The sequence below is a fragment of the Homo sapiens genome, chromosome 4, assembly GCF_000001405.40.
Source record: "Homo sapiens chromosome 4, GRCh38.p14 Primary Assembly".
Classification (NCBI taxonomy): Eukaryota; Metazoa; Chordata; class Mammalia; order Primates; family Hominidae; genus Homo; species Homo sapiens.
In genome coordinates, this window is record NC_000004.12 from 43,217,290 (window position 1) to 43,233,886 (window position 16,597).

General features: G+C 36.1%; 1 long non-coding RNA gene across 1 annotated transcript in view; it reads right to left on the reverse strand.

The window, feature by feature from the left end:
- Positions 1-5,898: 5,898 nt before the first annotated feature.
- Positions 5,899-16,597, reverse strand: part of LOC105374432 (uncharacterized) — a 59,764-nt gene continuing 49,065 nt past the window's right edge. Inside the window, exon 3 of the long non-coding RNA XR_925265.1 lies at positions 5,899-5,962. This is a non-coding gene — a long non-coding RNA (uncharacterized LOC105374432). The remainder of the gene's footprint in view (positions 5,963-16,597) is intronic.

Here is a 16,597-nt window from a genome sequence, read left to right on the forward strand (position 1 = left end):
ATCATATAAAAGAAAATAGAAGATAATTATAATTTAGTCAATAAGTAAAACAGAGTATTCACTATTTTTATGTGGAAATTACTAATACACAAAAACAGAAGATTATTTTTGTCTTAAATAAGCTTTATTTCTGTTAAAATTTGTGTTTTTTTAATTACAAATCTACTTATTCATGCAAAAATCAAATATTGTAAATATTTATATAATAAAAAGTAAAAATGCTTGACCTCTTATTTTCTTTTTCAGAAAGCAACTGAAGTTTATTGTGTAGCTTCCAAAATATTTTTTTGTCCTCTTTGAGAGATGAGCATGTGCTCAGCTTTTGTTGATAAATAAAAACAAAATTTTACTCGGTTATATTATGCAGCTTGTCTTTTTAACAATATTTTTTGATCACCTTCCATTTCAGTACACGTATATCTTCAATATTTTGAGTGGTTGCATGGATATGCTGTTCCATAATATTTAAACATTTTTAAGTTGATGGGCATTTATTCCAATTTTATTTTTTGTTCTTAATTGAATATTCTATAAACTAAGAAAAATTATGCATCCAAACAATTATAGCTAAATAAAAATGATCTGTATGGAATGTGTATACCTCTCACATTCTTTACAACTTCATTTGGTGCTATGTAAACCAAATCCAAAGGAGTTCTGAGTCCTGCTCCTTTGACAACATCACCTCTTTCCAAGCTCCAGATAACCTCCAGATGCTCCGTGTTTGGTTTCATAGTGGAAAAATAGTATTTAGTCAGATTTTTATTCTGATTTCTGATAATAATTATTTAATAAAGCAGGCATGAAAAGAAGTAGGCAAATTGGAGGAGTTAAAATGGAGTATATAATACTTTCCATTTTAAAAATTGACAAATGCATGCTCTACGTGCATAGCCCAGCATACCAAATTAAGGTGTTAAAATACCTTTGTTTGGCCTGGATAAATAGCTTATGATTTGCAAAAGAGAGATGATATGTTCATTCTGGTTTATAAAAAGCCATTTTAGAAATACAAATTGGATATGGGCCTTGAGAGTTGTGAGACTTTCTAACTCATAAAATAAACACAGCTAGTTTCCATATATTTAAAAGATCCAGTCTACAGTGCCTTAAGTCTAGAATCTAAAGGGAGAAAAATCATTTCCTCTAATGTATATTTAATAAACAAAACTGTCTACACAGAATTTCTAATAGAAACTGCTTGGCCTACCAAATATTATCTGATCTGAAAGACGATCATTAGAGAATGTTCTTGCAATATTTAGAGAAAAATCAGCCAACTTTATTTTATATTTATTGACAGACTACTTTTAGTGATTGGTACAATGAAAAATCTCTTTCCTAGTATATTCTTCTTAATAACCATTGTACACATTTTCTACTGACCCTGAAATAATAAACCCACTTCTAAGAGCAGTGGGCAACTTCATTTACTAGTTAGTAAGAAAATAAAAGCCTGACATGCATTGTCTGTAGTCTCCTCTCTTCACCCTAAAAACGTGTTTATAGCTTTACCAATCATCTTTCCCTCAAGTTTATAGGAAGAAGTATCCTGTTCTCTTTCCAGAAACAAGATCTTAACTCTGCTCTTGATTTTATGCTGTGGTTTTATTATTTTTTTAAAAAATATGCTTTTCCTCATGGGTTGTAAGCTCCTAGAAGACAAGAGCAAAATCTTTGTTATATTTGTATTTCCCAAGCCCCTGTCTCTTTGTTTCATTTTTTTAACTTTTAAGTTCAGAAGTACGTGCAGGTTTGTTACACAGGTAAACTTGTGTCATGGGGGATTGTTGTACAGATTATTTCATCACCCAGGTATTAAGACCTGAGCACTCTTTATTTTACATATCATTCCTGAATTCTAAGGTGTCCAGAGCTAAATTTGATGCATAACAGTAATGCTTTCATAATATGGGTCTTGCATACCCTTTTACATCTTTTTTCTTTCATAATCATCTTTAAAATTCTTCTTCGCTATTCTATCTAATACCTCTTTAAATAATATTTTGGAGTAAGTTTGATATAAACTAATACAATTAGTGGTTAATAAATATTGAAGGCCTCAGAAATCTTATTGCTTTATATTTTGTAAAGTAAAAATAAAACTATATAGAGTAATTACTACTCTTTTTATCGCAGTGCAATCCTATTAAAGATGCTTCTCTCTCAAATCCAATTCTACTTCTCCTTTTCATTTCTCTGAATTGTCCTTAGTGCTTAAAATTTATAAAATAGGTGTATTTGCATTGTATTTGGGCTTTGAAGCAACTGTATGGTTAATCAGGCTGCTAATTTTGTGCTTCTTTTAAAAGAAGAAGCACTTTTTACTTCAACATCTTAGATTTAATCTTAAGGAACCGAAAAATTAACCTTCTGTACGTTAAGAAGACTGTATCATGTCCAACCCTTTTCCCCAACTCCTGGAACATAAGTATTACCACAAAAAGATTTGTGGGGATAGTTGTTATGGTCATTTCACCTATAAAATGATATAGTTGGGAAAGAAACCTAGACTCAATGACTAGGTCATGGCATACTTTGGTATTACTGTTCTAAAACCTCAAGCCAAGCCTTGGATGTGTAGCCTGAAATGTGACAGAAAGGTCTGAGAGGAAGAAAACAGCTCTCAACCCTGACATAGGGTTGGAGTGAATGGTAAGATTTATTGATGTCAGTATGGTGAGATCTCACTGATAAAGAGAAAATATAATATGAAAATAGATTAGAAGTAAGGAAGACAGAGAACTCTGAAACTAAAATGCACTGCTAGAGTTACCTATGTATTTTGCTTAAATAAATGAAAAAAAAAAAAAACCAACCTGTTTTATTCAATGTCTGCTTTGCATGAGGAAAATTGCCAGAGAGAGTATTCATGGGGACTGGAGAAACCTACGTGAGCATTCAGCAGGCCGAAGATGCAGATATTCATGTTTTTCAATAGAGCTCATGGTCACTGCCCCTTTGCAAATAGAAGCTATCACCTTTTTGGTGAAATCCTTAGTGACAGTGCAGTGCCAAATGACCGCTCAGTTTTTGCACCAGCTGGAATGTAGAACCTGAAACAGTAAAGTTCTGTCTTTAATGGTTCCGCAGTGAAAGACTCAAACAAAACTTTTTCAAAGAGGAAAGCCACAGCAGGAAAAGGAGGTGAAGATCCATTTAATAGTGCACTTAACAGATGGTGGGATGGGAAAGCAGCGGAAATCACAGCTGAGAGGTGGGCCTTTGCAAGGCGGGAGGAATGTGGAGAGAAACAGCAGAGCGCAATGAAAGCAGACAGAGCCACACTGTTACTGAGAAGAGCAAACTGTTAATACAACGGAATTCAGGATAGAAGAGAGACCCGACATGGAGATAGAGGAAGCACACCCTGAGGAAACTGCAGAAAGCCAAGAGAAGGTGGAAGAAAGAAGTCTTACTTTTGAGCATGAGAAAGAGTGTGGGCAGGAGGCAGTCACCAGTTGACAGAGAAGGGCCATGGTGACATTGCACTGGTACAGAAAACAATAGTGCTCTGGAGGTGAAGTCAATGCAGATCCCATAGCAAAAGGTGAGAGAAAAGAATCCATTCTGCCTTGTTCTATGTGTTCTGAATACGTTTTACAACTGAAATTATTTTTTGAGAATAAAGAGATGATTTGCAGCAGCACTCTTTGATAGAACTTTCTGCTATGATGGAAATATTTTATAGTGGTACTATCTGATATGGCTATGTAGCACTTGAAATGTTGGTGGTGCAGTGGAGGAACTGGATCTTTAATAACACTGAGTTTTAATTAATATCCATTTAAATGTAAGTAGCCAAAATAATGGAGTGCCAGGAAGTTTTTTGAGGGAGTGCAAATATTCTTTGTCTTGATTGTGATGATAGTGATAGGTGTGCAGGTCTTTTTCAAAATTCATCAAACCGTACACTTAGAATGGATATATTCTAATTATATAATTCAATAATGTTGAAAAATAAATAACTACAAGTAGCCAGGAGCTTGCAAATTGGGCAGCACAGTTCTAATGATTTGGGTGCATAGTCACTGAGGTAGGAGAATGCCTATCATCTAAGGAATGAAGTATACTATACCATACAATGTGCTTGCTTGTTAAAACAGTATCTCAATATCACTTACAATATCACTTGACATTTTTGTAAATCTTGACTTGTTAGTAGTGACAGATATCTGAGTTGTGATGGCAGGTATCTCATGGCAAATCTGTACAGGCATACAGCAACCTCAATTCTTGCCTCCTTAGAAGACAGAATACGACTGAGGGGCATAAGGCAGAAAAAGATACAGAGGCCAATTTCAGAGAAGAGTGGAAGTGTATTAAAAAGCTTTAGAGCAGGAAAGAGGAAAGTACACTTGGAAGAGGCCCAAGTGAGCATCTTGAAGTTCAAGTGCCCTGTTTAACCTTGAACCTGGGATTTTGTATGCTGGCCTACTTCAGGCGTTTTGCTCCCATTTCCCTTCATTCTTCCCTTACGGTGAGCCGCTCGCATGCCTGGTGCCCTGCATGCACTTGTGAGTTGAGCATGTGCAGTGTGTTTACTGGAGTCATATGCATGTTCACCTGAAGCTTTCTTCCCTTTTCTAGTGGAATGCCCCTGGAAGGTCACGCTCTGCCAGTTTGCCTCTTAATGTGCATGCTTGAGCCCACTTGCCCAATTTGTGAAAGCTGCTGATTACCTATTCCAGGTGTTTTTATCTACTGGGAAACTGCCTCTCCCTGGCACTGGCTGAGACCAATTATTATTTCAGAGAGGCAGTGTGACAACTGCCTAACCATCATCTGATGGTCGCCTGGCATTCCTGGTGGGTGGGAGGAGCCCTCTCCTGCCCTGCTCATGCCTGGCTAGCTATTTACTGTAACGGACTTTCAGTCCATTTTTTTTTTAAATATACCTTGTTAAATTGCTCCTTAAGAAGGAAGGGGGCATTAAATTTGGGTAGATTAATTGTTTCTGCTAAGAAGACATTTATTGAGGTAAATAAAGGAGAATAAGAGGAAACAACCTTTTTCTATGTTCTTGCCTACACAGTAATTTTGGAGAGATCAACTCCAACAGTTGATGAATGAAAACCTCGAGACCACTTCTTCTAAGACTTTTTTTTTTAATGGATAAACCTATGACTGTTGAAAAAAGATATGGGAATTTTTAAGATGAGAGATTTACTACTAGTAATACATCCTTTATAGAATGCACACGACCACAAAACTATACATAAATTTACATAAAATAAAGATCATAAAACATGAATACAATCTTCAATTCTCCCTAATTAAGTTTTGTGTATTGGTATTAATTAAATCCATAAATGGCAATCAGTATTAATGTAAGTTGAAAGTGAATTATTGCAGTGAAAGATTGAGATCAGTGATTTACAATGAGGTGTTCCATTCAGTAGAATTTTTAAATAATAGTTAAATAGTAGAGGAGCGGCCTGGGTAATTATTTCCGACTTTCATTTTGCCCAGAAAACATTAAAAACCCAACAAAAACAACAAAAAAGGGACCTATTACCTACTGACCTCACCATTTACAAAATAGAGGATATTTTAACAAAGGTTCTATGCAAAAAAAAAAAAAAGTAATAAAAAGGAGAAAGGAAATGATGTCAAAAACAAAAGAAGGCAAATTGAGTAATTTAACTTTATGAAAAATTCACTATTTTACCCTATGTTTCTCATTTTTTCACAAATTGGTGAAAACTTTAAAATGGACTCTCCAAAGTCCACAGAAAAGCATTTGGGAACCACTGGTTTAGCTTCTACTGTGGCACATCTGTAAGGGGCAAGGAGATCATTGGCCCAGTCCCCTAACTTGACAATTGCAAAAGCCAGTTCTCTGGGGCTTCAACAGTTTGTGAAAGACCACAAACTAAGAGAGTAATAGAGACTCACCTTGTGCTCAGGGCTCCTGATTTCCATTTTCAACCCAGTGCTCAAGTAGATAGATGAGATGTTTCTATATAGAAGAGAAAATATCAACAGATTATTTCTATAACAATATGGTAATAATAAACTTCCTATTCTTAGGCCTTTGATTACAGACATTTATAATAGAAAGTGAGTTTATAATTATTTATTTTGGGTTAATTGAAGTTTTATATGAGAAATTTACATAATAAATTCTAGAATGCAAAAAGATATGACCTATTAACTATTTTCCTTTGTAAAAAGAAGTTTTGAATAAAAACATAGCTTATTATAATGCAGGACACTCTTATTTTATGATGTATAAAATAAAGACTGAAAATTTGAAATGTCTTTCAAAATGTTATGAAGTTACAGATCAGGGTCTGCCAGTCTCTTAAAATCTATCATACATACTGTAAACTTATCTACATAAAATAGGGATAACTACGTTAGCTTTACATAAAATAGAGCTAACTTTATTAACTTTACATAAAATAAAAATAAAATTATACAGAGCATAATTTTATTGAAATATTAATTTTACAAAAAAATCAGTACTAGGATGATTTTCTTAGGATACATTTTAATCTCTTAGTAAAACAAACGTGCAGACAAACAAAAGCAAATATGAAGTCGACCAGTGCACTAGAATGACTAACCACTCTCAAATTGTATTTCAGGTTGAAATATTCAAAAAGTATATTCCAAACAACAAAAGAAAACTTTCTTAAATCAATAACACCACTCCTCTTGAATGTTTTTGCCAATTCAACTCCCACTACTGGAGCAGAATTGATGTCCTTTTTAGAAGATATTGCGCAACGAAAGGTTGTTAAGAATTGCTGACATTAGAATCTATTGTGGTGTTTTATAATGGTAATCCAGCCTTTGAAACCAAAATCAAAGAATGGACAAAATTAACAACATACTATAACTGCAGATTATACTGTCTTTTTTTTTGGGATGAGATACTTATTGCCTAGAATGGAGAAATATAAATGACAACTATAACAGGTTTTTAAATTAAGAGATCCTTACCTAAAATATTCAGCCATTGTGCAAAGGTGCCTGGATTCATTTCTAGTCACATATCTTTTTGTAATATTATGTTACATAGTAAAATTCAAATTCTTCATTGTCCCCCAAATCCTTCTTCTCTAATAGGAGTGTCTCTACACCATGGGAAGCCAACTTTATAGCACAATTGACAAATGTATACTGATTCTTCTATTTCTGTGTTTAATGATATTTGAAATTGTCTCTGAGTTTAGCGAGAGAGATGTTTATCCATTAGTATCATTGGCCATAGGCTCATAGAGGTAGCACGGTGGGTGCGGGGAGGTGTTGATGTGCTTGCTCAGAGTTGCCAATTCTGCTCTAAACATTAGGTAGTGGTTTCTCAGCCTAATTATTTGTTTCCTCATATGCTGTAAGAAGAGTAGCAGCTACTGCTATGCTGTTGCTGTTACTTCTTAATCTCTTTAATCTCTTGTTTTGCATTTGTACATTTATAGAACTCATTGCACTGCTGTCTGGAAGAGGCTTCTTTTGGTATAATCAGAAAAAGCACACTTCCTGCTTTATTGCATCATACATCAGTTCATTTACGTGAAAAAAAATGTATTGCTTGCCAGCTTGTGCAAAGTGCTGGAGATACAAAGAAAAACTGGACACGGTTCCCATCCTTGCAAAATATGCAATGTACTGAGAATTCATGGTGGAGGTACAGATTTCTGAATTCTAAAAAGGCTCAGGGAAGGATTCATAGAAGAGGAAGTTGTTTTAATTATGACTGGAAGAAGAAGAAAGGGGCCAGTGAAACAGCAATGTACAGGCATAATGGCATATAGTAAGGTAAAAGTTAAACTGATTGTAGGTAAGCATGAAGCTATTGAAGTGTGTGTATTGGCCAGTTAAGGTCCCAACAGAACACAGATGTCACACAGAAATTAGGATAATTTTAGAAGGCTTTCTTTTTTTTCCATAGGTAGGATTTATAAAAGCATACAAAGAAAACATAGGATAAGACAGTGATCTGTGCAAATAACACTGGAGAAGCTGTTTTTATACCCAAAAGGATAAGATGAGGGAGCAATTGTCAGATCCCAAAAGGAGAAAGTCTGGTAGAGAATGTTGCCTTGAGAGAAGCAGTAAACTGAGGCAGAGCCCAGGAGGATTTGCAGAGAGGAATGCAAGACATTAAACCCCATGAGGCTACTCTTCTCCCTCACTCTGATCTCCTGGGGCTGAACAAGCTTGGAAGCTCATTAATGTGGTCCCACTGCACAGAGCAGGATGGAGGGGTGAAAATGGATCTGGAGAGGTAAACAAAACATACCCAGCATAAAATCTGTGTAGAAAACTTGCAGAAGGCGAGTTGGGTGGGGTGAATAGTGACATGATTATAAAGTAACTTGAATACTAATTAGAACTTTTACTTTATTTTGAATTTTTAGGAAGACTGAAATATTTAATGCTTTAAATCAGGAGAGGGACAGATTTGTATTTTAGAACATTCACTCTGGCAGTGGTCAAGAGGATTGACAAGGTCAGACTGGGTCTAGAGAAACTAGTTAGAAACTTTTTCAGTATTTGGCTAAAAAAATCTGAAAAAGAGAAAACCGTAGGTGCTGGACTTGGGGTAGAGATTAACTTAAGAAACAGGGAACTTAAACAAATCAACAAGCAAAAAACAAATAACCTCATTAAAAATGGGCAAAGGACATGAATGGATACATCTCAAAAGAAGACATATGAGTGGCCAACAAACATATGAAAAAGTGCTCAGCATCAGGAATCACCAGAGAATGGAAATAAAAGCCACAGTGAGATACCGTCTCCCACCAGTCATAATGCCTATTATTTAAAAAGCCAAAAAACAACTGATGCTGGTGAGGCTGCAGAAAAATGGAAAAGCTTATACACTTTTGGAAGGAGTGTAAATGAGTCCAGCCACTGTGGAAAGTAGCCCGCAAATTTCTGAAGAGACTTAAAATATAATTACCATTTGACCCAGCAATCCCATTACTGGATGTATACCCAAAGGAAAATAAATCATTCTAACAAAAGGACACATGCACTCATAGGTTTGTTGCTGCACTATTCACAACAGCAAAGACATGGAATCAACCAAGTGCTAATCAATGATTGACTGGATAAAGAAAATATACCATAGAATGCCATGATAAAGGAAATCATTTCCTTTGCAGCAACATGGATAGAGCTGAAGGCCATTATCCTAAATGAATTTATGTGGGAACAGGAAAGCAAATACCATATGCTTTCAGTTATAAGTGGGAGCTAAACACTGAGCACTAATGTACATAAATATGAAAACAGTAGACACCGTGGACTACTAGAGGGGAGAGGGAGGTGGGGACAGGTGAAAAACCTACCATCCGGGTACTACGCTCACTTCCTGTGTGACAGGATCAGTACTACAAACCTCAACATCATGCAATATTCCCATGTAACAAACCTACACAAGTACCTCCTACATGTAAAATAAAAGTTGAAATAAAAAGGAAGAAAGAAAAACTGGAGAGGGCATCCTACAAAATAACTGGCCTGTTCTCCTAAAAAATTTCATAGTAATAAAAGTCAAGGAAAAACTGGGGCCTGTCCCAGAATGAAGGAGACTAAAGAGACATGATAAATTACTGAGAAAAATAGTCATAAATGAATTATCTTTTCTGCAGAGAAGACAATTGGTGAAATTTGAAAGGATCCAAGGACTAGACAGTACTGATATATTAATGTTAATTTCTTGGTTTGAATGATTATATTATGGTTGTAAGAATATCCTTTTGTAGGAAGTGTACCCTGAAGTATTGGGTGGTGTTGGGGCATTTCATCAACAACTTGATCTTAAATGATTTGTTAAAAAATTACACTGTACTTACATTTTTTAAGGTTTGAGATTGTTTACAATTTATTAAAATTATTTGGTTTTGCAACGATAATGGAAACACATACATTGGTGTGGCACAATATCACTGTAAAAACGACGTTCTTAATTACAAAGGCTGTGGAGCAGAAATGTACTTTGAATAGTTGTGGTACATATATAGTTTATAATTATGTTATTAAAGAGGCTGTTATATTCAACCAATAAAAGTTGAAGCTGAGGGTGTTAAAATTTACATGTATTTTTGTATTTAAGAGTTAGAGTCCCTGAGTGACCCTGAGGGATCAGGCTGTCATGGACTTCATGTGAAATTGCACTTTTGCTTGGCTTGTTCTCCTTTTATCTCCTGCTTCCCCTCCTCTAAGACTGGTTTCTATAGGAGAAAGCTTCCTAATAAAGCACTTTCACCTAAATCCTTAGCTTAAGCATTGCTTTGGGGGAATGCAACGCAAGACAGAAAGTAAGTAGAATTACCACATTTTCTTTATCTGGTCTACTGTTGACAGGCATTTAGGTTGATGCCATATCTGTGCTATTGCAAATAATGCTGCAATGAACACACGTAGGCAAGTGTCTTCATGGTAGAACAATGTATGTTCCTCTGGGTATATAGTCAATAATGGGATTGCTGGGTGGGATGGTAATTCTGCTTTGAGTTCTTTGAGAAATCGCCGAACTGCTTTCCACAGAGTTAACTTGCAGCCTGGAAAACAGCTAGGACTTGGAATTTAATTCTCAGTGTTGTAACTCAGTGTTGAGTCTTTGGGGCTTTATCCTTTCGGGCTTAACAATAGTACTCTAAGGACCAGCAGTTGGTATTGGGAGACACCTTATAAAGGTAGCAAGAGGTCTGCTGTTTACACAGACAACTTTTTCTTCCTCAAGAAGGTGACTATTCTTCTGCTAGATCTAAGACCCAGAAGCATTACAGAAGCAAACAAAACTGAACAAAACATCAGCAGGCTGCAAATTTTCCAAATTTTTATGCCCTGCTCCCTCTTGAATGCTTTGCCTCTTAGAAATTACTTCTGCCAGATACCCCTAATCATCTCTCTCAAGGTGAAAGTTTCACATATCTCTAGGACAGGGGAAAGAACTGCCAATCTCTTTGCTAAAGCATAGCAAGAGTCACCTTTGCTCCAGTTCCAAGCAAGTTCCTCATTTCCATCTAAGACCATGTCAGCCTGGGCTTTATTGTCCATATCACTATCAGCATTTTGGTCAAAGCCATTCAACAAATCTCTAGGAAGTTCCAAATTTTCCAACATCTTCCTATCTTCTGAGCCCTCTAAGTCTCTAGGAAGTTCCAAACTTTCCCACATTTTTCTATCTTCTTCTGAGCCCTCCAAATTGTTCCAACCTCTGCCTATTACCCAGTTAAAAAGTTGCTTCCCCATTTTCAGGTATCTTTACAGCAGCACCCCACTCTACCAGTACCAATTTACTGTACTCGTCTGTTCTCATGCTGCTAACAAAGACATATTCATGACTGGGTAATTTATAAAGGAAAGAGGTTTAATGGACTCACAGTTCCACATGGCTGGGGAGGCCACACAGTCATGGCTAAAGGCAAACGAGGAACAAATTCATGTCTTACATGGCAGCAGGCAAGAGAGCTGTGCAGGGGAACTCCCACTTATAAAACCATCAGATCTCATGAGACTTATTCACTACCATGAGAACAGTATGGGGGAAACTGCCCCCCGTGATTCAGTTATCTCCACCTGCCCCGCCCTTGACACATGGGGATTATTACAATTCAAGGTGTGATTTGGGTGGGGACACAGCCAAACCATATCAGTATGCCACCGCAAAGCAGACATGCATCCATAGCAATTTTTGTCACTTGATTAGATCCAGTTCTGTCCCTGAAAAATGACTCTTTATGGCCCCAGATTTAACTCCACTGAAGGCAGTACATCTTAATGGCCAAGACTGAAGGCTTCATGATTTGCAAACTGTGCGATGCTTGGCAGATGAGAATTTCTCTGAGCCTTCATGTCTTCATCTGTTACTTGGGTATTTTTTTTATAGTACTTATTGTGAGACTTACGTGTTGTGAGGTTGTTGTGAGACTTAAGTGAGATAATACATATAAAATCAGTAATTTTTAAATATGCTAGTTATTACTTCTAGAATGGGCTATTAAGTATATTGCATATAAAAATCTTAAACACTGCCTGGGATACCACAAATCCTCCATGGATGTGCACTCCAATTACTATTTTACATGTGTTTCTGCTCTGTAATATGTAGTGTGAAGACTTTAAAGATGTAGGGTCTAGCAAAGTGCTATACGTGCTTAGAAAATTTATACTCTACACACAAAATGTATACTTTTTCCTTCCTATGTTCTCATTTACATAAAAGATTTGAAAATGTCAGCACCCTTCTTGCAGTTGGAGAGAAAGGGATGAAATAATGCTGAAGGTCCAAGTGGAGTTTAAATCTTAAAATAAAACAAACATAGATTGATTTGGATTAGATAGGGCACAAAATAGGTGCAAAAGCTGTAATTTAGTTAAGTTTTCCAGCAGGTTTAAAGCATGCTCAGGGCAGCAAGGAATTCTGTAATGGTCTCTTTTGTTATGAAAAGCGTGCAAAATGTAAAATCAGATGTCATGGTGCTCTCATTGCTGGGAGGATAGTATCCAATTATCCTCATCCATTACTAGTAGGCTATGGTAAAACATTACTGGATGGTTGCTTGCAAAGTCCAAAGTGACAGTCCTGTCACAGAGTCATATCTTACCTGTCCCTCCAGCAGGCACTGAAATATTGAAAGAAATCAAAAGGAGTTGAATATTTTCAGAAGACTTTTTGGAAGTGATATATATTGTAAGGAAAACAATGGGTTCATTAGATGTCAGGATCATTCGTCATGTTAAAATGTCTTCTAAAGCCTCCTATCTGCCCCTACCTAATTTTCTTGGAATCTGTCTTTTATGGTTTCTCTTGAATCCTTTCTCTTTCTTAGATAGATTTGGATTATGTCAAGTTTTTAAGACAGTCTGGAAAGGAGCAAGGTGGAGATCAATGTAAAAATAATACTTTCTAAATAATGGAGAATTACTTGAAATTAAACCATAAACTCATGTCTTGAAGTCTGTGGCCAAGGGCTTGCTCTTAGGTTAGTGGCTTTACACTCTGTGTCTCCTTCTTTGCGTATCTGACCCAAGATTTCACAGAATTTTATAACTTAACTATTCGACCTCAACTACCAACCTCCTCAATTAGCAGACTGATTTTTCCTAGGTGCTTGCTATTTTAGGCTATTACTCCTACTAATACAAATGCTCCACCTTTACTAAGTGATAGAATGCAAACTATTTTTTACTGACACCCATATGCCACAGCTGGCTAACAGCTGCTTTTCACCTTTTGAAATATGAGGTTCAGTCTTTTGGTGATGGTTGCATTACAGACATTGTCTAAAATGACTGTCAGAATACACTCTTCTGAATTCCCTGCTGCCCTACCCCATCGACTGACTACTTTGGCAATATCTTAAAAAAAAAAAAAGACCTCAGATTACTAGTGCCTCTTGGGCAAAACTTTTATATCCCCTATATGCTCCTTTTCAAAATAAAAACTATTTTCCTCATTAGTTCTTTGTAGCTCTCTGTGAAATTATCTTCACTCCATATCCCAACTTCGTACAGTCAAAGAACAAATAGACCACATACCTTAACTATTTAATTAGAATGGTGTGATTTCAGTTTTCATATTTAATGTGCTGCTTAGCTCTGTTGAGCTAAAAGCCACAGCCATAAATTAGCAGCTTCGTTTTGTTTTGTAATTAAAATATCCCAGTAGATTTCAGCAAAAGGCAGTGCTACACTTACTGACTAGTTTAACTGAGCAGGACATGTTCTGTATGAAATAATGAGTCTTTATAGGAAATTCTTTTTAAAAAAATGGGATTAGTCAATGATGCTAATCAGGGCAAAAGAAAACAAGTATGGATCACTGAAAGCCAGAGATCATCCACGCATTCTGCCTTCGGTAAATAGCATCTTTTTTTGTTTCTTTAACTGAGCATTGACTGTAGCAGAGTGGCTAATGGCATAATTAAGAGAGCTGATTGGATTTTTTCATCTTGTCTTTTCCGTTATTTGATAAAAGGAACATTGGAGAGAAAAATCACCAGCAGAAGGAGGGAGCAAAGAAATGTTCCCAGAACTGACTGTTTCTTATTTATACCAGTATCATCCTGGGGTAGCTGGCAAAGGAGACTTGCTCACCAGAAGCATCTCAGGAAACTGCCCTGTAGCTTGAGGTAGGTTTAATTTTTTAGCTGTTGCAAGAGGAAAGCCACACATGATCCTCCAATCTAATGGTTCCCACCAGTGAGTTCTACCTGTAGACTGATATCTTCGTTGTACTGAGGATCTATACGACCAGTCTCTGAATAGGTATGATAGATTGCGTTTTTCAAAAAGACCAAGGCAATATTTCCAGTCACACATGATCTGCCACTAGATCAAATTTTGGGACACAGAATACGCTTTAGCAATTTAAAAATAATGGGAATCATACAATGTTTGATCTTAGACCACAATTGAATTGAACTAGATATCAATAATAGACAGATAACTGGAAAATCCCAGAATGGTTGGAGATTAAAAATTATACTTCTAAATAACAAGTGGTTAAAGAAAAAATCTGAAAAATAATTAAAATACATTTTGAACTAAATGAAAATGAAAATACAATGTATCAACATTTTCATGCTGTATCAAAAGCAGTAATTAGAAGGAAATTTATAGCATTGAATGCAAATATTAGAAAAAGAAAGGTTTAAAAGCAACAATCTAAATCAAGATGTCCTTGAATAGGTGAATGGAAAAACTAACTGCGGTGCATCAACTCTATGAAATATTGCTCAGCAATAAAAAGAAATTAGTTATTAAGCCATGAAAAGACATGGAGAAAAACTAAATGTGTATGAAGTGAAAGCAGCCAATCCAAAAACCCTACATACTATGTGATTCTAATTATATGACATTAAAAAATGACAAAACAATGGACACAGTAAAAAAATCAGTGGTTGCCAGTGGTTTAGCAAAAGGATGACTAGGTGGGGCACAAGAGGTTTTTACAGTGGTGAAACTAATCTGTATGATACTGTAATGACAAATACATGTCATCATGCATTTTAAAAAACTCGTAAGATGTATAAGACAGAGTGAATGCTAATATAAACTATGGAACTTAGTTAATAATAACGCATCAATACTGGCTCATCAGTGATAAGAAATGTACCACATGAATGCAATAGGATAATAATAAGGGGAAACAGTGGGGAGGGAGGCAGTGGTAAAGGGAATCTATGGAAACTCTCTATACTTCCCATTACATTTTCCTGTAAACCTAAAAGTTCTCCAAAAAATAAAAAGTCTATTAAATATAAATAAAAAGAGGTGGGGTCTATTTTCTCTCCCTTTGAACCTGGCTAGTCTTGTGACCAATCTGATTGATATAGTACAGCAGAAGTGACACTTTGCTTTCTATGATATGTATTCGATCTGGCTATGTCTTTCTGTGACATGCCCCCTTGGGACTCAGCCCTATGAGGAAGCATAGGAAACCTTGGGACATCATATAAAAGTGTTCGGGCCAATGGCTCCAGCTAATGTCTCTGCCTACTGCCAAAATCACCTATTTGAGACAACCTTTGAGACTTAGCAGGCCTTAGACATCATGGAACAGATACAATTCATTCCTGCTGTGCCAGTAGGAATTCCTGACCCACAGAATCCATGAACACAAAAATATTTGTTTTATGCACTGAGTTTTGGAATAATTTGTTTTGCAGCTTTAATAATCTGAACAATAGGTATTAGCTGGCTGCTTCTTAAACTGGCCTAATTAGACTCAGCATATGTCCCCATATTATTTGTAACATGGAATGCAGAAATCAAACAAACATAAAACAAACCATAATTCTTTTTCTCTCCTCTAACTGGAAAATCAGATATACTTTCTCCTCTCTTTTCAGTTATGGCTTCTGTGTTTTGTATCATGCTTTTAAAGACTTTGCCCATGCTGAGATTAATAAATTTAGTTTCATAAAATTGTCAAATTTCTGCAAGGCAAATTCAAAAGACAGATTATTAATGGAAGGGGAAAATATGCAACTTACTTCACAGAAGGCTAATTTCTTTGATTTATAATGCTACTACAAATCAATAAGAAACAATAACAACCCAATAGAAAAACTAGTGTTTTAGTCTATTTTCTGTTGGCATAACTAAATATCTGAGACTGAGTACTTTTTAAAGAAATTTATTTCTTACAGTTCTAAAGGCAAGGAAATCCAAGGTCAAGGAGCTGCATGTGGTGTGGGCCTTCTTGCTGGTGAGGAATCTGCAGATTCCTGAGGCAGCCCAGGACATTACATGGCAAGGCGGGCTCACAAGAGATGGCCAGACCCACTCTCATGATGACTAAGCCACTCTCTCAATAACCGATTAATCTGTTAATCCCTGAATGTATTAATCTATTCATGAGAGCAGAGCCCTCATGACTAAATTACCTCTTAAAGGCCTTACCTGTTAATACTGTTACACTGGGGATTAAGTTTCAACATGAGTTTTGAAGCGGACAAATATTCAAATCATAGCAATCGGTAATACAGATGTCCAGAGAATGCAAAGAAAATAGGGATTGTTCTTAAACATGTGAAAGAGACCTAATCTCACTCATAATAAAAAAATGCAAATTAAAGCAGGACACTGAGATTTCACTTTTTTCCCACATCAGATTGATAAAGAT